This window comes from Homo sapiens, chromosome 18, assembly GCF_000001405.40.
Source record: "Homo sapiens chromosome 18, GRCh38.p14 Primary Assembly".
Classification (NCBI taxonomy): domain Eukaryota; kingdom Metazoa; phylum Chordata; class Mammalia; order Primates; family Hominidae; genus Homo; species Homo sapiens.
The window spans coordinates 76,521,839-76,544,993 of record NC_000018.10 but is presented as its reverse complement, the minus strand read 5'-3'; the positions used below and the strand labels follow the sequence as shown (position 1 = coordinate 76,544,993).

The 23,155-nt window shown below is 46.7% G+C and overlaps 1 long non-coding RNA gene across 1 annotated transcript in view, besides 5 other annotated features; it reads right to left on the bottom strand.

Annotated features, from left to right (window-relative positions):
• LINC00908 (long intergenic non-protein coding RNA 908) overlaps positions 1-16,339 on the bottom strand; it is a 31,173-nt gene extending 14,834 nt beyond the window's left edge. The window contains 2 exon segments of the long non-coding RNA NR_015417.1: positions 14,530-14,610; positions 16,031-16,339. This is a non-coding gene — a long non-coding RNA (long intergenic non-protein coding RNA 908).
• Positions 14,678-15,317: an enhancer, noted in NCBI's record as "H3K4me1 hESC enhancer chr18:74241634-74242273 (GRCh37/hg19 assembly coordinates)". NCBI's record gives its function as "activates a minimal SCP1, AML or CMV promoter by ChIP-STARR-seq in naive H9 embryonic stem cells {active_cell/tissue: H9 hESC(naive)}" and the evidence as "EXISTENCE:reporter gene assay evidence [ECO:0000049][PMID:30033119]".
• Positions 15,318-15,956: an enhancer, noted in NCBI's record as "H3K27ac-H3K4me1 hESC enhancer chr18:74240995-74241633 (GRCh37/hg19 assembly coordinates)". NCBI's record gives its function as "activates a minimal SCP1, AML or CMV promoter by ChIP-STARR-seq in primed H9 embryonic stem cells {active_cell/tissue: H9 hESC(primed)}" and the evidence as "EXISTENCE:reporter gene assay evidence [ECO:0000049][PMID:30033119]".
• Positions 15,741-15,820: an enhancer, noted in NCBI's record as "active region_13511". NCBI's record gives its function as "activates an Ori minimal core promoter by ATAC-STARR-seq in GM12878 lymphoblastoid cells {active_cell/tissue: GM12878}" and the evidence as "EXISTENCE:reporter gene assay evidence [ECO:0000049][PMID:35858748]".
• Positions 15,957-16,597: an enhancer, noted in NCBI's record as "H3K27ac-H3K4me1 hESC enhancer chr18:74240354-74240994 (GRCh37/hg19 assembly coordinates)". NCBI's record gives its function as "activates a minimal SCP1, AML or CMV promoter by ChIP-STARR-seq in primed H9 embryonic stem cells {active_cell/tissue: H9 hESC(primed)}" and the evidence as "EXISTENCE:reporter gene assay evidence [ECO:0000049][PMID:30033119]".
• Positions 22,508-22,802: a silencer, noted in NCBI's record as "tiled region #8201; K562 Repressive non-DNase unmatched - State 22:ReprW". NCBI's record gives its function as "represses a minimal TATA promoter and a strong SV40 promoter by Sharpr-MPRA in K562 cells {active_cell/tissue: K562}" and the evidence as "EXISTENCE:reporter gene assay evidence [ECO:0000049][PMID:27701403]".

The window sequence follows — 23,155 nt, the reverse complement described above, 5'->3', positions numbered from 1 at the left end:
ACACAAAGGAATCCCCCTGACCTTGGGGGTGGTGGGCGTCTTAGGTCCCAGCTCACCTATTAGAGGCCCCGGGGCAGCCTTCCTGGAAAAGCTGGGAGGAGTTTGTTGGAGCCCCCTTCCCCTCTAAGTTCCTTGCTTCTTCTCTCCGAAGGTCTTTTCCTGACACTTAGCCCACCCAGCCCTGAAACCCCCCTGCCTCTTCTGCACCAGCCCAGACCCACAGGGCCCTCCAGGCCTGCTCTCAGGGAGCCCCCAGGAGGGAAGTGAGCTGATTAACCAATTCACACTCAGCTGCTAATGGGTGGTAATGACTTCAGAGGTTTGCCCTACTCTACCCCTGCAGGGTGCTACATTTCAAAAGCCATGCCAGCCAGGAAGAAGCCTTTCATCCAACCAGATGAATGATTAATAACGTCATTCCACAAATTGGTGGCAGATGATGCCACTCAAATCATATTACATAAGTCCACCCTGCCTATTCATCAAACAAAGTCCTAGTCGGAGCACATACACATTCATTCATCCATTCACTCATTCCACAGTTTCAATGAATGTCTCCTATGTAATAGGAACAGGGGACCCAAAGAGAAAAAAATACACTCTGCCTGCCCAAAGGAGGCTCCCAGCCAAAGAAATGAAACAGAGCTATATACTCAAAACATAGGCCAAATGCTCTAACACATAAAGAGAGCCGTGGGTGCCTTGAGGAGGTAGCAGGTAACGAAGGGACTGATTTTCCACTTCTATGTGTCTCTGTCATGACCACAGCCCTGACGCCACCTGAAATTCTGCACGGAGGCCAGGCACGGTGACTCACGCCTATAATCCCAGCACTTTGGGAGGCCCAGGAGGGTGGATCACCTGAAGTCAGGAGTTCGAGACCAGCCTGGCCAACATGGTGAAACCCTGTCTCCACTAAAAATACAAAATTTAGCCAGGTGCTGAGGCAGGTGCCTGTAATCCCAGCTACCTGGGAGGCTGAGACAGGAATTTCTTGAATCCGGGAAGTGGAGGTTGCAGTCAGCCAAAATTGCACCACTAAACTCCAGCCTGGGCGACAAGAGTGAGACTCCGCCTCAAAAAAAAAAAAAAAATCTGCACATCATGAAGCCAAATCCTCCAAGCCTGACTCCAGCATAACTTCTGTTATTTAACCCTCCGGTTTGGGGCCAATCACCCACCCAGTTTAACTCGCCTTGGAGGGTTTCTCCAACTCTGGGAGGACAGTGAACTCACCAAGGTAACCAACCTCAAGGCACATTAGAGGTCAGCTTAACAGAGCCTGGTGTCCACTGTGCAGAGGATAGCTGTCCCCAAAAGCCAGCACACAAATCAGTCCAAGGGGACAGCCCAGCAGTTTGGATTTTGCCTGGGAGTGATGGGTTGCTGACAATTTGGGATTCCCCCTACAAACGTAAGAATGAGATCAACATGTTCAGATTTCAATTCAACGAACAGCCCTTCCTAAGCTCCGAGTAGCACACGCTCACTGTCTCTCCTACACATGTCCTTCTGGCACCTCCTCACCAGCAGGAACATGACCGTGATCAGTCCATGTCCAACAGATGGACAGTGCACATTATGCAGAAGACCAGGATACATCTTTTCTTCTTTTTTTTGGGGGGATGGAGTCTCGCTCTGTTGCCTAGGCTGGAGTGCAATGGCGCAGTCTAGGCTCACTGCAACCTCCGCCTCCCAGGTTCAAGCGATTCTCCTGCCTCAGCCTCCCGAGTAGCTGAGACTACAGGCATGTGCCACCATACCTGCTAATTTTTGTATTTTCAGTAGAGACAGGGTTTCACCATGTTGGCCAGGCTGGTCTCAAACCCCTGACCTTGTGATCCGGCCACCTTGGCATCCCAAAGTGCTGGGATTATAGGCGTGAGCCCGCACCTGGCCACATCTTTTTTTCCTCACATTTTTGGTGGTGGGGTGAATGGGGCTAAGTTGCTTCAGGGACTTGGGAGGCAGAGTCCTGGGAAGGTACTTGAAGACCATCCATGAAAGAGTTGGTCCAAATCGCTTGTCATATATATGCCCTGAAGTGTAAAGAGGTGAGCAAAAGCATTAAGTACATGTTTAATATTTCAACAGCTAATATTTTCATTTAGGTCTTATTTACGCTATAGTAGAACTGTGATTTCTTAGAATCTTTTTATATGCAAATCTGACAGAACACTAGGGCTCTTGTACAATCAGGCTATTTCATATGCATGTTGTATAGCGTGGCTGTATAGAATGGGGGGGAAAGTACTGAATTAGAAATCAGGAAATATGAGTTCTGGTCCTGTATGTGTGATTAACCTCTTTGAGACTCAATTTCCATATCTTAAAAACAATGTTAGATTAATGATCTCTTAGGTGCTTCTCAGCTCTAACATGCAATGACATGGAGCATAATTTGACTATTTAAAATTAGTGTAGGCATCAATAATTATTGCAGCTTTGTTTTTATGACATACTGTTTCAATCATGAACATATCATTTATTTGATATCAATTTTTTTAAGGAATGCAATCTCCAACTAAAACTTTTTTTGAGAAAAATATCCAGACAAACCACATGAAATTGCTTATATTTGACCATTTTTGACTGAACAAGTGGTAATTTTATGTGGTTCAACCTAATAGTATCTTTTTTTTTTTGGAGACAGTCTCACTCTGTCACCCAGGCTGGAGTGCAGTGGTGCAATCTCGGCTCACTGCAGGCTCCGCCTCCCGGGTTCATGTCATTCTCCTGCCTCAGCCTCCCAAGTAGCTGGGACTACAGGCACCCGCCACCAAGCCTGGCTAATTTTTTGTATTTTTAGTACAGATGGGGTTTCACCGTGTTAGCCAGGATGGTTTCGATCTCCTGACCTCGTGATCCGCCCGCCTCGGCCTCCCAAAGTGCTGGGATTACAGGCAACCTAATAGTATTTTTTAAAAAGACCTACTTTAAGGCAAGATTTCCAGACATATGGGTGATTTTCTTTTTTTTTTTTTTTGAGAAGGAGTCTCGCTCTGTCGCCCAGGCTGGAGTGCAGTGGCACGATCTCGGCTCACTGCAAGCTCCGCCTCCCAGGTTCATGCCATTCTCCTGCCTCTGCCTCCTGAGTAGCTGGGACTACAGGCACCCGCCACCACGCCTGGCTAAGTTTTGTGTTTTTTGTAGAGACGGGGTTTCACCGTGTTAGCCAGGATGGTCTCCATCTCTTGACCTTGTAATCCGCCCGCCTCGGCCTCCCAAAGTGCTAGGATTACAGGCGTGAGCCACTGCGCCTGGCCGACATATGGTGATTTTTTAAAAATTATGTGAAAATCTGCAGTGAACACAGAGAAAAAGGATGTGTTATAAAATCTATTCACTGTAATTTTCCACACATTTTATATCTTAAAAATGAATAAAGTTTTCTCTGCTCATATTCTCTTCCTATTAAATAAAACCTTACCACCATTTACAAAGTTCTTCATAGTTTAAAGCAGCTCTTACGTGCTGTTATTTTATAACGTCCTTAAGAAGTGGGTAACAGCATCATTCCAATGTCACAAAGAGGAAACTGAGGCTGAAGAAGTTAAGTCATCTGCTCAAGACATCAGAATGGGGTCTGGACTCCAGCCAAGATAACAGCGTCCCAGAGGTCTTGCTCTCTCCCCTTCTGCCAGATGTGCAGCCCGTGAATATCAGCACATTAGCAAAGATACAATCTTTCTGATCACCGAACGCACTGAAATGGGGTCTCCTAGTGACAAATGTGATGAACACGCATTGAGACGAGAGCTACTGTCTTCGTCTTTCTTCTCTTAGTGTCACTCCAGAGCCGACAGAGCTGGTGGCTTGTGCATCCCAACCCCCACCCCCCCTTCCTGGGAGTTCTTGGCTCCCCGTAGGGGGGGTGCTGTTCCAGGAGCCACTGAAACTTCTGCTTCAGGAGATTTGTCCAGTGCCACGGAGCCAGGTCTCACATGCCACCAAAGGGCTTCCTGGAAATGTTCCAATAACATGGATCTTGCCAAGGGGACAGTAAATTTCTATCAGAAAAAATGTGATGCTTTGGCAAAAACCAGACCTTGAGAACACATTGATCATGTCAATTTCCCACAAAAGAGCGTGGTAAAGGGAAACACAGCACTGCCGATATTTACAGTTGCTGAAACAGTGAGATGACAATTCACAAATCAATCCATGTAATTAAAGCCAACGTGCTGGCCAGGGTGACCGTCAAGGGAACATCTGAGCGAGAGCCCCATTGTTTACCCGATTAGAACCTGACATGCAAACCAGGGCAAGGGGCTGCGGGGACGACTCAGAAGAACCAGGTCTCTCTAGGAAGCACCTCACCCAGAGAATTGAGAAGAGGGACTGAGAGAGGAACCTGTGCACTAATGTTGGAAGCAGCACTAGATTCATAAGAGCTGAAAGGTGGAAGGAACACAAATGTCCTCCCTGACGAATCCATAAACAACATGTGATACCCAGGTAATGACATACTGATACAGGCTACACCTTGGATGAATCTTGAAAATATTCTGTTCTGTGAACGAAGCTGGTCACAAAAGACAAATACTGTCCAATTCCATCTCGTACTAGCCAGGGTTCTCCAGGGAAACAGAACCCACGAAACGAAAATATACGGAGAGAGGGACATTTGTTTTTGTTTTGTTTTATTTGTGTGTGTGTGTGTGTGTGTGTGTGTGTGTGTGTGTGTGTGTGTGTGTGTTTGTTTTTTTGAGACGGAGTCTCGCTCTGTCGCCCAGGCTGGAGTGCAGTGGTGCGATCTCGGCTCACTGCAAGCTCCGCCTCCCGTGTTCACGCCATTCTCCTGCCTCAGCCTCCTGAGTAGCTGGGACTGCAGGCGCCCGCCACCACGCCCGGCTAATTTTTTGTATTTTTAGTAGAGACGGGGTTTCACCGTGTTAGCCAGGATGGTCTCGATCTCCTGACCTTGTGATCTGCCCGCCTCGGCCTCCCAAAGTGCTGGGACTACAGGCGTCAGCCACCGCGCCCAGCTGGGAGATTTGTCTTAAGGAATGGGCTCACGTGACTGTGGAGGAGGGCAAGGCCATGATTGACTGGGGCAGGTGGACAGGCTGGGGACGCTGGGAAGAGCTGCAGACGTCCTTCTGGGGAGACCAGTCTTTTTCTCTCAAGCTGTGAACTGATCGGACGAGGCTCATCTGCACTGTGGAGATGAATTCGCTTTACTCCAAGTCTACTAATTGAAATGTTAATCTCATCCAAAAAATACCTTCACAGAAACATCCACAATAATAATGTTTAACCAAATGTCTGGACGCTGTGGCCCAACCAAGTGTTGGGTTAGTTAAGTGCTAATGACACATAACATTATGCATCACACACACTGATGAAACGTCTAGAATAGACAAATTCATAGCCACGGTAAGTAGATGACGGTAGATGAGAGGGGCTGAGAGAAGGGGAATTGGGGTGGAATGGTTTTACATCGTACCACAATTTAAAAACAAGCAAGTAAATAAATGAATGTTTTTATAAAGTAATCCAAACATGTGTGTGCTAACTTTTTTTCTCCAAAAGGCATTTCCTAGCAAAACGCTCACCTTTGTTCTATTGGGCTACGAGGATAGATTTTATCAAAAACACTTGTTTATATCAACAGCTGTCATTCTTCCAGTGAGGAGTTTTCCTTTTTCTTCAAGTAATAAAGGGAAACCAGTGTCTCTCCGCCTCCTGCCTCTCATAAACCCACTTCTTTTGTGGAGAGCCATCCAGGCAGCCAGAGGGCCCCCAAGAAAGCAATGCATGCCACTCAGCCCTCCCCTTCCCTGGTCCAAAACAGGGCTCTAAGCTTTGGTGAAAGTTTCTCATGGAAAGATGTGTGCACACACACTCACGCACACACCCAGTCCTCAGCAGCAGATATTTTGCCGAGGGGCTCTACACCAGCTCACACAGTTGCACGATTGTACCCAAGGCGTCACTTCGGGCAGCCAACGCACGGCACTCTCCCTGGCCTGTACATTCAGACTTGTAGGGGACAGCTGTTTGGCCGGGTAGGGATGCCAAGAGCTGGAGCAACAGGAAGGAGGCCACGCGGAGTGGTGGAGTTTCAAAAGTCTGTGGAGAATCATGGGTTTCGTCTGCATTTTACAATCCCAACTATGGTCCTTAAATGATATATGAATTTTTAAACCATGATGGGAATTTTAGAAAAGTAATATTTTGTAATAAAAAAAGGAAGAGGAAAGGAAGAAAGAAAATACTATATTAAGCTCTAAGCCAAATAACGTTAAAGATATTTAATGATGAGTATGACCTCCAACCTCTCAGAAGAGATGCCTGCCTGGTGAGCACCCGCACCCACCTCCACTCCAGGCTGAGTCCCCAGGGGCAGGAGGCAGCTGAGTTTGGTAAATACGAATCCTCCTGGTTCAGGGGTGTGGTCCCCATGAGAAGCAGCTAGGGACCACTGGCAAGAGCGGGGACCCAGCATGGCCCTGAGGAAGGGCAGGCCTGGCCAGGCACTGCCTCATCTCTGAGAGAAGCTAGAGGTGGGATTTCGATGTAAAATCTCCCCTTTAAAGTATTAGTCATTCATTGAGGTTTGTGAAAATTGTAGAACAAAGACAGCAGCAGGCTGGACTGGGCGACCTATGCCTTCCACCACCACATTGACTTAGATAAAGAAGAGACAATTCATAATAGCCGAAAGGTGGAAGGAACCCAAATGTCCACCCTGACGAATCTATAAACAACATGTGATACACATGTAATGATATATTGATACAGGCTACACCTTGGATGAATCTTGAAAATATTCTGTTCCGTGAACAAAGCTGGTCACAAAAGACAAATACTGTCCAATTCCACCTCGTACTAGCCAGGGTTCTCCAGGGACATAGAGCCCACGGAATGAAAATATACAGAGAGAGGGAGATTTGTTTTAAGGGATGGGCTCACGTGACGGGAAGACGGCATCAGGGTCCTGGAGCCTGGTACGCATAGAGTGGACAAAAAGTCCTAAATGACCTGTTAATTAGGGTCTGGAAATAGTGAATCCATAGATATTCCCCAACCTCACTTTAATTTCCCTCCCTACCCTGTCTTTAGAAGGACTAATGGGAAAGAAAACACAGGGGAAAGAGGAGAAGCAAAGGCTTCGTGTGGATGAGCTGCCCGGGCACTCAGAGCTCGGACATCATGTGGGATGGGACCCAGGAGGCCGAACAGAGACCACACCTGTCAGGCCAATCAGGGGGACAGGGAAATGCTATGGAATTGGTGGCAAGAGAATGGTGTATTGAGTCAGCGGGTTTCCAAATAGGCTTTATTCTGGCTTTCAGGTTTCAGGACGTTTTCTAGCAGCCTGCCTTAACCAAAGTAAATATGTATTGAAATAAAGGCGCAGAGGCCGGGCACAGTGGCTCATGCCTGTAATCCCAGCACTTTGGGAGGCCGAGGCAGGTAGATTGCCTGAGGTCAGGAGTTGGAGACCAGCCTGGCCAACATGGTGAAACCTCGTCTCTACTAATACAAAAATTAGCCAGGCGTGGTGGCAGGCGCCTGTAATCCCAGCTCCTCAGGAGGCTGAGGCAGGAGAATTGCCTGAACCCGGGAGGCAGAGGTTGCAGTGAGCCGAGATTGCGCCACCGCACTCCACTTTGAGGGACAAGAGCGAGACTTCGTCTCAAAAAAAAAAAAAAAAAAAGAAAGAAAGGTGCAGAGTTTCATAAAATATACACAGCAGATTTGAGAAATTTTGCTTGCTTTTAAAAAATGAAGTCTATTGTGAAAACTTCACTTTAATTAAAGAAATACCAAATGTTTATTATTTTGAAATAAAATGAACAAAACGCAAAATTTCTCTGTAAAGACCCACTGGCAGGTAAGTTGTCTTCCAGACGGTGTTAGCCAGTGAAGAACTCCTGGCCGGGTGCAGTGGCTCCTGCCTGTAATCCCAGCACTTTGGGAGGCCTAGGTGGGAAGAACACTTGAGGCCAGGAGTTCGAGACCAGCCTGGGCAGCATCGTGAAACTCCCGTGCCCCACCCTGCCAACCATCTCTAAAAAACAACAACAAAAATAATTTGTGAGTGTCCAGATGCACACAATTATATAAAGTAAAAGATTTCACACCTGCCTTTAAGAGTTGGTGATAAAATGTGAGAAACAGAATCAACAAGCACACATACGTACACACACACACACACACACACACACACACACTCCATTCCATTTTAAATATAAGAAAACCGTCCAGGCGCGGTGGCTCATGCTTGTAATCTCAGCACTTTGGGAGGCCAAGATGGGCAGATCACCTGAGGTCAGGAGTTTGAGATCAGCCTGGTCAACATGGTGAAACCCTGTCTCAACTAAAAATAGAAAAATTAGCTGGGTATGGTGGTAGGCGCCTGTAATCCCAGCTACTTGGGAGGCTGAGGCAGGAGAATTGCTTGAACGCTGGAGGCAGAGGTTGCAGTGAGCCAAGATTGCGCCAGTGCACTCCAGCCTGGGTGACAGAGTGAGACTCTGTCTCAAAAATAAATAAAATAAATAAATAAATATAAGAAAACAAATGAGCAAAATGCATCCCAGTGGAGTGTCCCTGGAACCAAGGTCTTCAGGTTGGAACTGGGATCGGAGTAAATACCAGGGAGGAGGAGCGGCGCCCGTCAGACTGACGGTGTCTCCCACATGGAACGTCACCCAGCTGGGCTGGCAGATATGGAAGAAGACACAATCATACCTTCCAACAGTGCACAATGGAGTGTGAGGAACTAGCCATCATAAGACAATGAAATAATTTCTTTACTAACAGGAAAATACGTTATGGGAGCCTAAAGGGTAGCAAATCTATAAAAGTTAAAGTTAAAATTGTAAAAAAGAAACAGTACCCTAGCAGCTCGGAGCTGCATTCCATCGCATTCCTTGCTGCTGGGCCTCACCGTCTGCCTGGCTCCCTCCAGTGCGTTAAAAAATTGCTCTGAACTCAAACTCAGAGAAAACAGAGGCACTCGGCAAGAGGAGATTTTGCTTCAACTGATGAGGACAACCTCATTCTGCGAGAAATTCCACCGGCTTACCCCGGTGAGGCATCTTCTGACCAGATACCACCGTCAGGGAGTTTCACAGAAGCAACTAGGTCTACATAAGCAGAGAACACTGTTTTTAGAGAATTTTCAAGTAAAATGCTGTCCTCTGCCAATGCAGACTCTGACTTTGCTCTGCCAGTGGTAAGAGCAATAAGATACCAAAATGGTTAAAAGTCAAACCATCTATTCTTCTAAATGCACTATACTGAAAATGACAGATCCGTCTATTCATTTTGGGAACTGTATTCTTCATGCACTATTATTTCTTTTCAACTCCTAAATTATATGCTATCGTAGTTCCTAGAAAAGGAGTCAGACGAAAATAGGGGGAATTGGTGACTAAATTTCCCTCGACGTAGGATTAACGCACACGTATCTAATTCATATACTCTAAATCTACACTTGGATAAATAAATTTGTTTGGAAAAACCCTATATGAGATTGGTCATTATTATAATCATCTCGATGTTTCAATGAGTTTTTGGTCTATATGAAAGTTGATTTTAGGATATGGTCATTTCTTGGGAGTTGCACACAATTTCATGGAAGCAGAGCAGAGGCATGTGGGCATGTATTTCATTATGGGCACAAGGGTGCTGGAGGAAGGAGGTTAAACAGATGATATTGTGATTTTTGGCTGGTTTCCTGAAATTTCAAGAATGCCCAGCACATCTGAGGATGAAATGAAATTTTTTGTATACCTATGAAACACACAGTGTTTGTATACCTATGAAACACACAGTGTGTGGCATGGAAGAGACACTTGGTAACTTCATTCATGAATGGGGGCTCCACAGCGACTAAAGAAGGGAAGGCATGGGAAGGGGAGGGGAACCGCCCTGGGACAGAAATGAAAGAGAAGAAACTGAGACACCCACCTGCCGGGGCTTTTCTCGGGCTCTTCCTGGCAGAACCCCATTATCAGTTGCATCTCCACTCAGCCCTCACCTCCTCTTCCCGCCGCCGAGCAACCAGCCAAGCCAGGGAAACAAGTCCTGCCAGCCAAGCCCCCGCACCCCACAGGCCTGCCTTCACGTCATCATCACCATCATCATCATCATCATCACCATCATCATCATCATCAATGGCATCTGTAGCTACAGTCACTGGGACTCAGCTGCTTGACCAGCCCGAGTGTCTTTCTGCCTCTGCTTCTGTAGAGCTCCTGCTCTTCCTAGAGCTTACAGGATGGCGTTCCTCAACCTCCTATGTGTGTCTGTCACCTCTCCTGAATGGCCGGCTTTTTGAACGGGGGATGCTGTTCCCATTGACTGTGCATTCCCACCCGCAACACCGAGTAAATGCGGCCTAAGTCCTTGGTGAGTAGTTGAATCTTTACTGCCTTCGGGCATATTTCTTGAACATTATAGTATAACCATTGTAGACAGTTCCATCTACAATGCCAATTAGAATGTCACATTGATTGCATCATAGCAGGGACCTTAACAGGTGAACCAGTAATCAAAATGGATATCCGTAGCCAATGTGACGACACAGATATTGCTCTAAAAACCTTCAATTGGGGGCCAAGCACCGTGGCTCACATTTGTAATTCCAGCACTTTGGGAGGCCGAGACGGGCGGATCACTTGAGGTCAGGAGTTCGAGACCAGCCTGGCCAACATGGTGAAACCCCATCTCTACGAAAAATACAAAAAATTAGCTGGGCGTGGTGGCACGCACCTGTAATCCCAGCTACTCGCAAGGCTGAGGTAGGAGAATCACTGCAACCCAGGAGACAGAGGTTGCAGTGAACTGAGATCACACCACTGCACTCCAGCATGTGAGACACAGCGAGACTCCATCTCAAAAACAAAACAAAACAAAGACAAAATGAAACAAAAACAAAACAAAACAAAAACCCCTTCATTTGGGATGGTTTACATTAAATTTTAATGTTGCTTTTCTGTGGATTTTACAAAGGTCACAAATGTTCACTTAGATATTTGTGTTCTCCTGCAAGATATTATGAATCTTTAATATTATAAATGCATTCAATCAAATAGTGTTTCACAAATTTAACTAAGATGGGAGCAACATTGTTCATCCCATTGTAAAATCTCTGTGGCTCCAGCAACAATTGTGTGCCATTAAAACAATGTACATTCTAGAATACTATCATTTGGGATGGGAAAAAACAGGTTCTGCAAGCTACTCAATGTCATACAAATGCCCTGCTTTCTAAAGCAGCACATGGTTTAAGGGATGGGAGAAGAGAGATTCTGGAAAGGGTTAAATCCCTGTGCCTGTGGACACTGCCTGCACCTGCAGACCACCTCCATCTGAAGGTAGCTGCAAAGCCGTTTGAAACCATTTCACTTTTACCAGGGCAGAGGGATGTGGTTTGAATACGAATGTCCTTTCCCACTTGCAATATTGCGTATTAGTTCCATTGTAGCCTGCTTACTTTCCTTGCTACTTTTTTTTTTTTTTTTTTAGACGGAGTCTCGCCCTGTCGCCCAGGCTGAGTGCAGTGGCGTGATCTCGGGTCACTGCAACCTCCGCCTCCCAGGTTCACTCCATTCTCCTGCCTCAGCCTCCTGAGTAGCTAGAACTACGGGCACCTACCACCATGCCTGGCTAATTTTTTTTAATATTTTTAGTAAAGACGAGGTTTCACCATGTTAGCCAAGATTCTCAATCTCCTGACCTCATGATCCACCCGCCTCAGCCTCCTAAAGTGGTGGGATTACAGGCGTGAGCCACTGCGCCCGGCCCCTTGCTAAGTTTTTAGGGAGCAAATGACCTCTGGGCAACTACAAAGTTCCACTATCAGAGCAGTATAATATTCTTTAAAGAACACCAACGAATACACGGGCATGCTTTCGGTAACTGCAACTCTCTGCCCAGTTCACAGCTAAATACGCTGACATGGCAGGATGCAATGATTTTCCCACATCACATATCAAGTTATTAGATCAGTTTCCGACTCTTTTCAAAGTGCTTTCTCATATGTCTTTCAACCAAATCTATTTATTGAGTCTTTATATAGCACTTATTTTGTATCATGCTCTATTCCACATGCTTTAAAAATATTGACTCACTTAAGCCTCAAACAGCCTATGAAGTAGGTCCTGCCACTCTCCCTATTTGCAGATGAGAAAATTGTGGCCTGGCCACTGGTCCTGTAGTTGGGAAGCAGTAGAGGCAGTGTTCAAACACAGTCAGCCTGCCCAGAGCCCGTGGTTGCAACAACTGCGCGGTGCCGCCTCCGACAAACCGTGAGCATCCACTTCCCAAGCTTTGTTCTTTCGTCTTGTGTGGAAAAGGTTTTATTTTAATAAACTGTATACATCAGGCTTTGAAAAGCAATGTCCCTCAAACCATAAAAGGATGAAACGTGGATGACAGTTGTAAGCCTCTCCATTCCCCTTTCCCCTCGGCCCTGCTAAAGGCCTGCCATCTGTGGGCCCACCTGCCCAGAATCCACCTGGCCAAGACTCACCTGTCTAAAACTCTCCTTCCCAGAATCCAGCTGCCCAGGACCCACCTGCCCAAGACCCACCTGTCTAACACTCACCTGCCCAGAACTCCCCTGCCCAGGACACACCTGCCCGGAATCTACCTGCCCAGAATCTACCTTCCCAGAATCCACCTGCCTAAGATTCATCTGCCCTGAACTCATCTGCCCAGGACCCACCCACCCAGGACCCACATGCCCAGGACCCCACCTGTCCAAAACTTACCTGCCCAGAATCTACCTGCCCAGGACCCACTCACCCAGGACTCACCTGACCAGGACCACACCTGTCCAAAACTTACCTGCCCAGAATCCACCTGCCCATGACCCACCCGCCCAGGACCCACCTGCCCAGTACCCACCCACCCAGGACCCACCCACCCAGGACCCACCTGCCCAGGACCCCATCTGTCCAAAACTTACCTGCCCAGAATCCACCTGCCCATGACCCAGCTGCCCAGGACCCACCTGTCCAGAATCTAGCTTCCCTGAACCCATCTTCTCAGAATCTGCCTGGCCAGAATCCACCTGCCCAGAATCCACCCCTCCTGCCCAGAAGAACCCACCTACCCAGGATGTACCTGCCTAAGACCCACTCCACCTGCCCAAGACCCAGTTGCCCAAGACCTACTCCACCTACCCAGGACCCATCTGCTTAGGACCCAAATGCCCAGGCCCTCACCCACAGACAGCCAGGTGCGGCCGCACCTGAGTCCTTTCCTCATCAAATGCCTTCTGATGTCCACCTCCTTGAGGCTAAGTCTTGGAGCTGCCATTTGCTGCTTTAGTGAGTTTGGGTGAGTTACACTGGCGGGCAGAACCCTCCAAGCAGTGTGAAAGAGCCAGCACTCCCAGCGGACTCACCCACACCAAATCTGGAAGAGCAGCCATGTCTTGTGGCCTTCCAGGAACACCAACTGCAGCCCAAAGTCATCCCTAGACAACTCCCAAGCCAGGTACAAGTGACACCCAAGGCACGCTGCCTGGCCACAGAAGCAGGTCTTTTGCCTATTACCCCCCCTTTTTTTTTTTGAGATGGAGTCTCGCTCTGTCGCCCAGGCTGGAGTGCAGTGGCGCAATCTCGGCTCACTGCAAGCTCCGCTTCCCAGGTTCATGCCATTCTCCTGCCTCAGCCTCCCGAGTAGCTGGGACTACAGGCGCCCGCCACCACGCCCGGCTAATTTTTTGTATTTTTAGTAGAGACGGGGTTTCACCATGTTAGCCAGGATAGTCTCGATCTCCTGACCTCGTGATCCGCCCGCCTCGGCTTCCCAAAGTGCTGGGATTACAGGCTTGAGCCACCGCGCCTGGCCTACCCTTAACTGTTTTGAAGTCAGTGATGTCCCCAAACGGGCAGGTCTTTTGCCTTTTACCCTTAACCGTTTTGAAGTCAGTGATGTCCCCAAAGGGGATTATTGCTTCCCCAGGGAATCACAGTCTAGTGGCAGAGCCTTTCAAACCCACAACAGCTGTCATGCCTGAGACAGCTCAAGCAAGCCTGAGGGACATGGGAAGAGAGCATCCCAGGCCCATTCTGATCCATGGGAATCTAAGAAGGCCTCCTGGGGGTGGCGAGATTTGAATGTATCCTGGAGAGCAGGTAGGCATTTGTGGTAGACACTGTAGTGGGCCACCCAGAGTCCCCCTCAACCAAGCGCTGTCCCGCCAGCTGCAGAAAGTGTCAACTATTGACAACCTCTATCTGGGGACTCTCCAGGAACTGCCCTTCTTGAAGGGCACCTCACCCAAACACAGGTACCCTCCCTGGACACAGCCTGTCCCCAGCGAGTGGCCAGCGCATGGGTGCAACGCCTGGCCTCCTGCCTCAGGGGGAGTGACTCTCAGGGCTCTCAAATTCAGAGCCCTCCATGGGGTTGGCCGAGGCCTCTGTTGCAACTGTTCCTCAGTTCACCTTCCTCTTCTGCCCACCCTGGGTCCTGCCATTCTTCAGGTGTGGCTCCTGAGAGCACCGGCCTGTGAGACCCTGCGGAGAAATCACCGCCAACCGTGTGAGCACTCACCGCAGGGAAACAGCCTTCCACCACCTCCGCCTCCTGCTCTTGACCAAGCCCGCTAGGAGCACTAGGCCTCAGCCTCCTCATCTGTAAGACAGGGGCCAAAATGGTCTTAATTCTCAGAGTGTCATAAGCATGAAATGAGAGCGTGCACAGAAAGCCCTTACTTAGGCTTGGTGTGTAGTGAACGCCCAATAGAAGTGCTTGGTGTGCAGTGAATGCACAATAGAAGAAGTGATATGTGGCCGGGCGCGGTGGCTCACGCCTGTAATCCCAACACTTTGGGAGGCCGAGGTGGGCGGATCACGAGGTCAGGAGATCGAGACTATCCTGGGTAACGCGGTGAAACCCCGTCTCTACTAAAAATACAAAAAATTACCCAGGCGTAGTGGCGGACGCCTGTAGTCCCAGCTACTTGGGAGGTTGAGGCAGGAGAATGGCGTGAACCCGGGAGGCGGAGCTTGCAGTGAGCCGAGATCGCGCCACTGCACTCCAGCCTGGGCGACAGAGCGAGACTCCGTCCCCCCAAAAAAAGAAGTAGCGGTATGTATGATGTTGTTCGTCACAGAAAGCATGGAAAATACAGAAAGACACAGAGAAGAGAGTAAATTCACCCATGGGTCTACTGCCGGGTTAACAGGCACTACCAAGATTTCAGGTGGTGGGGGCGCACGCGCATGCGCACCAACACACGGGCCCTAGAAAAATAAACTCGGGATCCTAAGCGTGTACGCTGCGGTGCCCACACACGCGTCTGCCGTTCTCACCCCGTTTTCTGCTTTAATTTTCTGCTTAAATTGGTCATTTTCTGTGAAATGCACATTCCACTTCTGGGTAGTGTGCACCGCCCATCTCCCCCACGGAGTGCAGGAAGGTGGCAGCGGGGCTGTGTTCCAGGCCAAGGCCACACAGCCCGGGGGGCCGCACGCGGGGGCAGCCTTGGTACACGAGGCCTTTCATTTGTTGGTTTTACAGCTGGAAGAATTCGGATATACTTATTGACCGAGAGAAGAGTCCAAAACTCAGGAGTGGAAAATAACGAAGAATGAAGAAAGGAAACAGGAAGAGGTTGACCTGATTGATGGAAAGGAGCTCCTCTTTCTCCAAAACCAGAAGGAAAAGGAAGATTTAGAGAGCAGAGGAGGGTAAGTTTCCCCCGGATAATATGGGTTCAGTTGCATAATACGGCCAGGATGTTATCTGCAAAGAAGCTGTGGGGAGGAGAAGGCAGAGCAAGGAGCGCAGGGCTGAGACTGTGGGAGATGCAGCCGGAAATGACAAAACAGAAACAAAACGTGACCAAGGCCATTTGGGGTCCAGCTGAAGTTCAGCGGCTTAGATGCGTAGTAAGTCCCATGAGCACTGTTGCACGACTTGCCCACAGCTGTTCACATATGGACTTTGCAGCTCACATTGACTCTGGCCAGGGCGGGAGAGCCGGGGAGCCAGGCAGGTGCGTGGGAAGGGAGAGAAGAAAGGGAAGACGCGGTGCCCATTCCATATTTACCTTAGTAGTCATCCAGACGCACTTCCCTCTCCAATCCCCAAACAAGAAGAGGCAGAAACTGTCTACCAGTTAGACGGGAGGTGTCAGCGCCCCTGGAGGCTGTGGCCATTGCCAGGGAGACCCCACTCTGCACAGCTCACAAACACACCGTGTGTGTGCAGGGTCCTCACCCGCCCTGGGCAGGAAATGGGGGAGTTCTACGTCCACTTTGTCACGCAGACAATGGAGGGGACCGCAGAAGGGGCTTCCCCAAGGACACAGAGCCAGTGGCCGCCTCACTGTGTGCCCCTCAGTGGGCGTTTCCACACTGCCTGGCAACTTTGAGAACAGCCGCTTTCGCTGGGTCTCCAGTGAAACTTGAAACCATTTGCATCTGCAAGTACTTTACTTATTCCATTTCAAAGGCATGCACATTTTTAAAGGGACACTGTTTTTAGCTCCTGCGTCACTGACTCATCCCGCATAATTTGACTTTATGGGACAGGGTCCCCTAAGGAGTGTCCTTGCCTTGACAGTCCTGTCTTGAAAGCTGTGAAGACCAAGTGGTGCCATATATATTGTTTTAAAATTATGGACTACCTAGAAAAGAGGTGAAATAGTAAAAAAAAGCAAAACTTTTAATATTCAATGACAAACACAGACAGAAAATAGGGAAAAATTAAATGTTAATGTGTTGGGATGATTGGATTTTGAATAAATTTTATTTATTGAATTGATATGAAGTTTATGGAACAGGGATAAACAGTTTGTTTCATATGATTATATATTTAGGTATTCGTTGACATACATATATACGTATACATATACACGTATGTATTGCCGTGTGTACATATAGACACATAGCATGTATGTATAAAACATATACATATGTGCCAAATTACAAAACGAGAAGTCGTGTTGCTCATCCTGCTCTATTATAAGAAACCTCAAGCAACAGTAGGTACTGGAAAATGCCAAGTCTGCATGATCCCGGCAAGGGCAGATCCTGCCACTGGAGTTCTGGAATGCATCTCTCCCCACTTGGCAAAGATGCAGGGTGCAGAGGGGGTGTCAGCAGAGGGGCTGGGTGCAGAGGGGTTGCAGACTTACCACAGGAGGACTTTATCAAGAGATGTGGGTTTTCTGGGCATCCAGGACACCCACAATGGGGTGACAGAATTGTCTGTGGAGTGGAGTCCTAGTATTGAACTTGGCAGCTGCTACCGGATGCTCTTCTGGCACCTATGTTTTCAGAAAAACAGGAGCTGGCCAAGAGTATTTGCCAGATTTCTCCCTGGATTGGACTGATTTCTGCACTCAGCCCAGGTTTGTTTTTTTTTTTTTTTGGTGTGTGCCCCCGCGCCCGGCTAATTTTTGTATTTTTAGTAGAGACGGGGTTTCACCTTGTCAGCCAGGCTGGTCTCGAACTCCTGACCTCAGGTGATCCGCCTGCCTTGGTCTCCCAAAGTGCTGGGATTACAGGCGTGAGCCATGGCACCCGGCCTCAAACCAGCCTCAATCTGAAGGACGTGCATACTCTCCACAGGTCCCACAGGTCTTTCTAGGGTCCTTGCCCCTTACGTGCACTTCCTCTCTGAAGAGGTCCTTCCTCCACCATGTTGTCCCAGCCTGAAATTGTCCCTCATTATGGAGACTTGAGTGGTGTCTCCCACTGACTCCTCTCTCAAGGGGTGAGGGTTTGCTTGACCAGACACCAGCAGTGGGGCACACCCCTTCCAGTTCACCCTGATGAGCTCCTTATGCCACCACAGGGTCAAAATCAGGTTTAATAGCAGCAGCATTCGCAGTAGCCACAAAATGGAAACAACTCAAGCACCCCTCCAAGAGGGGGAATGGATAAGTAAAGTGTGCTGTATCCCCACGATGGAATATTATTCACTCATGAGAAGGAGTGAAACACTGGCACATGCCACAACGTGGATGAACCTTAAAAGCCTTATGCTGAGTGGAGGACGTCAGGCACAAAATACCACAGATTGTTATGAGCCCAGTTGTATGAAATGTCCAGAAGAGGCAAATCCATAGAGACAGAAAGCAGATCCGAGGTCGCCAGGGTCTGAAGGAGTCGGGGATGGGGAATGATTGCTAATGGGTCCAAGGGGGCTTTCCTTTCTGCATGAGGACAGTGTTTTGAAACTGGAGGTGATGGTGGCATAACACCGTGACTACACTAAATGCCACTGAGTTGTACACTTTTGATTTTAGGCTATGTGAGTTTTACTTCAGTTAAAAAAATAGATTGAAGGCTCAGAGAGATTTAGGGGTGGGAGGGTAAGGATTTAGGATTCAAAAGAACTTGACTAAGGAGCTGAGAATCTTAAATATATTTCCAGTGTCATTGGGTTACTGGCTGACCTCTGTGTGCTACCTTGGTACCCTACCCCAATCGACGCTTTGTTCTATGAGAAAAAGCATTCTGAGCTTCAAGTAACTGAAGTAACTGATTTATAAACAAACCGTTGGAATATAATCTTTTTCTTTTTAATTGTTGGGGACTATCTGTAATTTAGTCTCTAAAATATAGTTAATCTTTGGCTCTTGCTCTGAATTAATCAATAAAAAAGACATCATAGTGGTAATCTTTGGGGGAAGTGAAATTCAATTTAATCCATTTTTTCTATTTGTTAGCTCCTCCGGTAATTGGTTTGATGGGGAAGAAGTTTGAAGTTATTGGTTAAATAGAGGTTTTTGGATTATCTGTGAATTTCAATTATCCATGCTTCACCTGGCCCCAATTAGCACTAATAATCGAGTTAACTGAATAGAAGTCATTTCCCATCATATCAGTTTTGCTATAGGCTTATTAGTTGTTTCACTAATGGGCCCCCCAAAAGACAAAGCCTCTTTCTCCATCAGGCACTCACACCCCCATACCACAATTTGTCAAACTAGTGCTGTATTGTTAACGGTATGAAACAAATGCTCTTAATAACAAAACATGTAGCTGAGGAGTGAAACCAGAAATGTCTAAAGTGCATTTATAGTCAGAAGGTATTACAAGACATTTCTAAAGTCTTGTTAGAAATTTTAATCAACGTTTTCAAGTGATTTGTATTTTCAATTTCAATTGAGGTTGTCACTGTCTTAATTTATCCTGATTTAAATTAAGACAGCTTTTAAAAGTGCCTGTTAATTTTAGCAATCTACCCATTTTCAGATGTGTTATTTATGTTTACCAATCACAATCTACATGCCTTTTAAGGTTTCAGTTTCTCTTCTTGGACACATTTGTATTTATATTAAACATAATAAATATCTCCCATTCCAAGAGCCCAGTTTTGACCTTCTTTGATCTCTGAGTCCCAGCATCCCTTAACTTGACATATAAATTAGCCCAGCCCCTCCCGGGAGGCTGGGACCTGAGGGTAGTGTTTCCTCCACTCCCTCGCCCCCTTTTGAATCTCCAGCATCATGTTTTTCCATTGCCATGGAGATGCAGCTATGTACACAGAGTGCAACAAACCCAGCGAATGGGAAAAGTCCCGGCTGAGATAGAATTACTAACTAAACAAATGCTATTGGTAACAGGGTGCCAGGGAGGGATACCCAAGTTCTCCTTTTCTCCCCACAATCAGATTACAGGTAAAAGTGCAAACAGCGAGATGAAAGCTGACACAGTGGTTCTTTTAAAGACACAGCGGACATATTACTCTCAGGAAAACACGGCGTTGGGTGCAGAACAGATCGTCACGAGAGCTGTGCAGATGTGGGAGGTTTAGTGCGCCTTTTGTAAAAATATTGCTGTCCTAAACCCCAGATCACGGTCTTATGGCTAAATAAAGAAAATAGAGCAAACAACTGAGAGCCCAACAGCAGCAAGGACTCGGTGAAAAGCCCCGGCGTCCCCTCTGATAGCACTCTCCATATTGTCCTGTGTGGGGCGAATAATAATTGGTCCCTCACTGGCACTGGCACACAGCTACTCGCTGGGGCAGTTTCACTCAAGAATTAATAAATTAATTAATACATCGTTCTTTTTATGGTTTCTAAAATAAGAAAATTGCCTATCCAACCCTCTGAGTACCCGATAAATAGGCTTCTACGTTTTGCTTTTGTAGGTATCATTTATGTCTTTTATTTTTCTTTTTAATGATATATTTGTTCTTGGTTAAAGAACCACAGATAAATTAGAAAACACAACTATTTGATGAAGAAGTAAATGGAAATTTTCATTTAAAGAAAGTCAGTGATTTTTTTTCTTAGATAGGCAATTTACAAACATTTTCTAAATGCAAAAATCATATGGAAACATATAAAGCATTCATTATTTTGTGACTTTGGTAAATATAAACTGGTCATGGTCCAATGTGTGAACTATGACGTTAATTGTGAAATTGTATCTATCTTCCTTGCCTACTTTTTGTGACATACCTCAGTCACTTTTCTTGCAAAACATAATTGAATTCAGCCGTGTGTGTGTGGATTTCTCTGCTTCTGTCAACTTTTCAATTCTACTTGATTTAAGGTTTGAAAACCCCAAAGCTGTCTCGAACAACCTCCCAGCAAGAGCATGCTGGTGGAATAGTTTCAGGTGCCTTTTATCAGGCTTTTCAGTTAGTTTAAAAAATAATATTAATTTGCCAGTTAGTCTCGACAATCTCTGAATGTTTTTGATAGTTATTCAATAGAGTTATAAGTAGTGGAGTTTTTTTGTTTAAATAGCATTTTTTCTCATTCCTGAAGATTGTTTTCTACCCCCATTTTCCACTTAACTTTAAATGAAAAGTTTAAAGTGTTTTTAACTTCTCTTAGAAGTTGTTTCCAGGTAACAAAAATCAGTTAAGAAAATGCTAAAGTCAACTTAATTTTCCTTTTCTAATTTTAACATATTTAGTTCATTCTTTAGAGCAAATGTTTCCTTCTCAGTATGAAGACTTTGTGGGTTTGTCCTGATCAAGATCCTCAACCCAGATTTCAAACCTGGGTATTGTCGGAAAGAAATGGCCTTTTAAAAATATTAACCTCCCCAAGCATTTTGGGGCTTTTGATAGTGCAAAGTTGGCACCCCTGGAGATGTATTTAGAAAAGAAACTTCAATAGAAACTGCTCTGCATGGCCGTGATGAGATACCATAATGTTAGGGCAGGTGGGCATCAGCTGGAGCTTTGGGGGGAAGTCAGATGTGAAAGAGATTGCTGAAGTTACCAATATTTGCCAAATAGTCCTCTACGCAACATTGCACAATTTAAACACCTGTTTTTTAGCAACCTGGTAGACTAGGTAAATCCTATCACTACTTTAGTTTTCTTATATAAGATATGTACTATAGAAAATAAGAATACCACCAGCCTGACCAATATGCTCAAACCCGTCTCTATTAAACATACAAAAATTGGGGGCCCGGGCATGGTGGCTCACGCCTGTAATCCCAGCACTTTGGGAGGCTGAGGTGGGTGGATCACAAGGTCGGGAGATCAAGCCCATCCTAGCTAACATGGTGAAACCTCGTCTTTACTAAAAATACCAAAAATTAGCTGGGCGTGGTGGTGGGCACCTGTAGTCCCAGCTACTTGGGAGGCTGAGGCAGAAGAATGGCATGAATCCGGGAGGCGGAGCTTGCAGTGAGCCGAGATTGTGCCACTGCACTCCAGCCTGGGGGACAGAGCTAGACACCGTCTCCAAAAAAAAAAAAAAAAAAAAAATTAGCGGGGCATGGTGGCGTGCGGCCTGTAGTCCCAGCTGCTCAGGAGGCTGAGACAGGAGAATTGCTGGAACCAGGGAGGTGGAGCTTGCAGTGAGCTGAGATCGCGCCACTGCACTCCAGCATGGGTGATAGAGCGAGACTCTGTCTCAAAAAAGAAAATAAGAAAATAAAAATACCAGCCTGGCACAGTGGTTCACTCCGATAATCCCAGGACTTTGGGAGGTCAAGGTAGGAGGATCACTTGAGTCCAGAGTTTGAGACCAGCCTGGGCAACATAGCAAGACTCTATCTCTGCAAAAAAAATGTTTTTTTAATTAGCTGGGTGTGGTGCGGTGTATCTGCAATTCCAGCTACTCAGTAGACGGAGGTGGGAAGATCTCTTGAGCCCAGGAGTTCAAGGCTGCAGTAACCCCTAATCAGGCCACTGCACTTCAGCCTGGGTGACAGAGTGAGGCTTCATCTCAGAAAAAAAAGAAAAGGAAGAAATAAAGAATGAAAGAAAGAAGAGAGAGGGAAAGAAAGAGAAAGAAGAGAAAGAAAAAAGAAAGAAAAAGAAGGAAGACAGAAAAAGAAGAGAAAGAGAAAGAAAAAAGGAAGAAAGAAAGAAAGAAAGAGAAAGATAAAAAAGAAGGAAGTAAGGAAGAAAGAGAAGAAAGAGAAAGGAAAATAAATGCATCATAACTTTGCCAGTTTTTGTCATTATGGGTGTTATAACATAATAATTTGTATTATTATAAATAATACAGTTTTTAAATGGTCTCTATCGAATGAGCAAGGATTTCTCTGAAGCGCTTTATTTATCCAAGAGACGTGGTCTCTTGGACGTGGCCTGTGACGCCGGCGCTCCCAGGCTCCTAGGCGCGCGTTTCAGGAATGGCTGCCTTGCTTGCTTTCAAAACAAACGGGAAAAGGTAGTGGCCCAGAAGCACACAGACCTCCCTAGGCCGGCGCAGGAGCACCTCACTGCTGCTGTACGGGGCACGAAGTTCCCCCTTAGTCACAGACGGTTCTGTGCCTGAAGAGGCGGCTCATTCAGCATGAAAGGAGGTGGCTGCAGCAGGGCGAGGAGGCCCGGCCTTCTGTGCGCACAGGACTCACCCTGACCTCCTTCACTCAGCTCCCCCACGCTCCCACTCCTCCAAATCTCCCTGCCCCGTGATAAACACATGGAGCTCTGGCTGAATGCTCATTTAAAAGAGTTTAGTCTTTGTTAAAAAGTTTCCTAGGATTTTCACTGGTTGAAATCAAGGCTGTTGTCTGAAAGCCAGTGTGTGCGTCATAATGTTTATAGTCTTCTATACTTTTGGCGATGCCCTATTCATTTTAAACCCGCTTCTCTGAAACCTCTGCTTCCCATGGCTATCTAAATGCACTGAAAAGAGAATCTGTACGGTTCATTTATATGTGGTTTAAGTTTCTCAAAGGGTCTTAGCAATATATTGCTTTGGATTGTTGGAAATCAGAGGTATCCTTTTAAATTG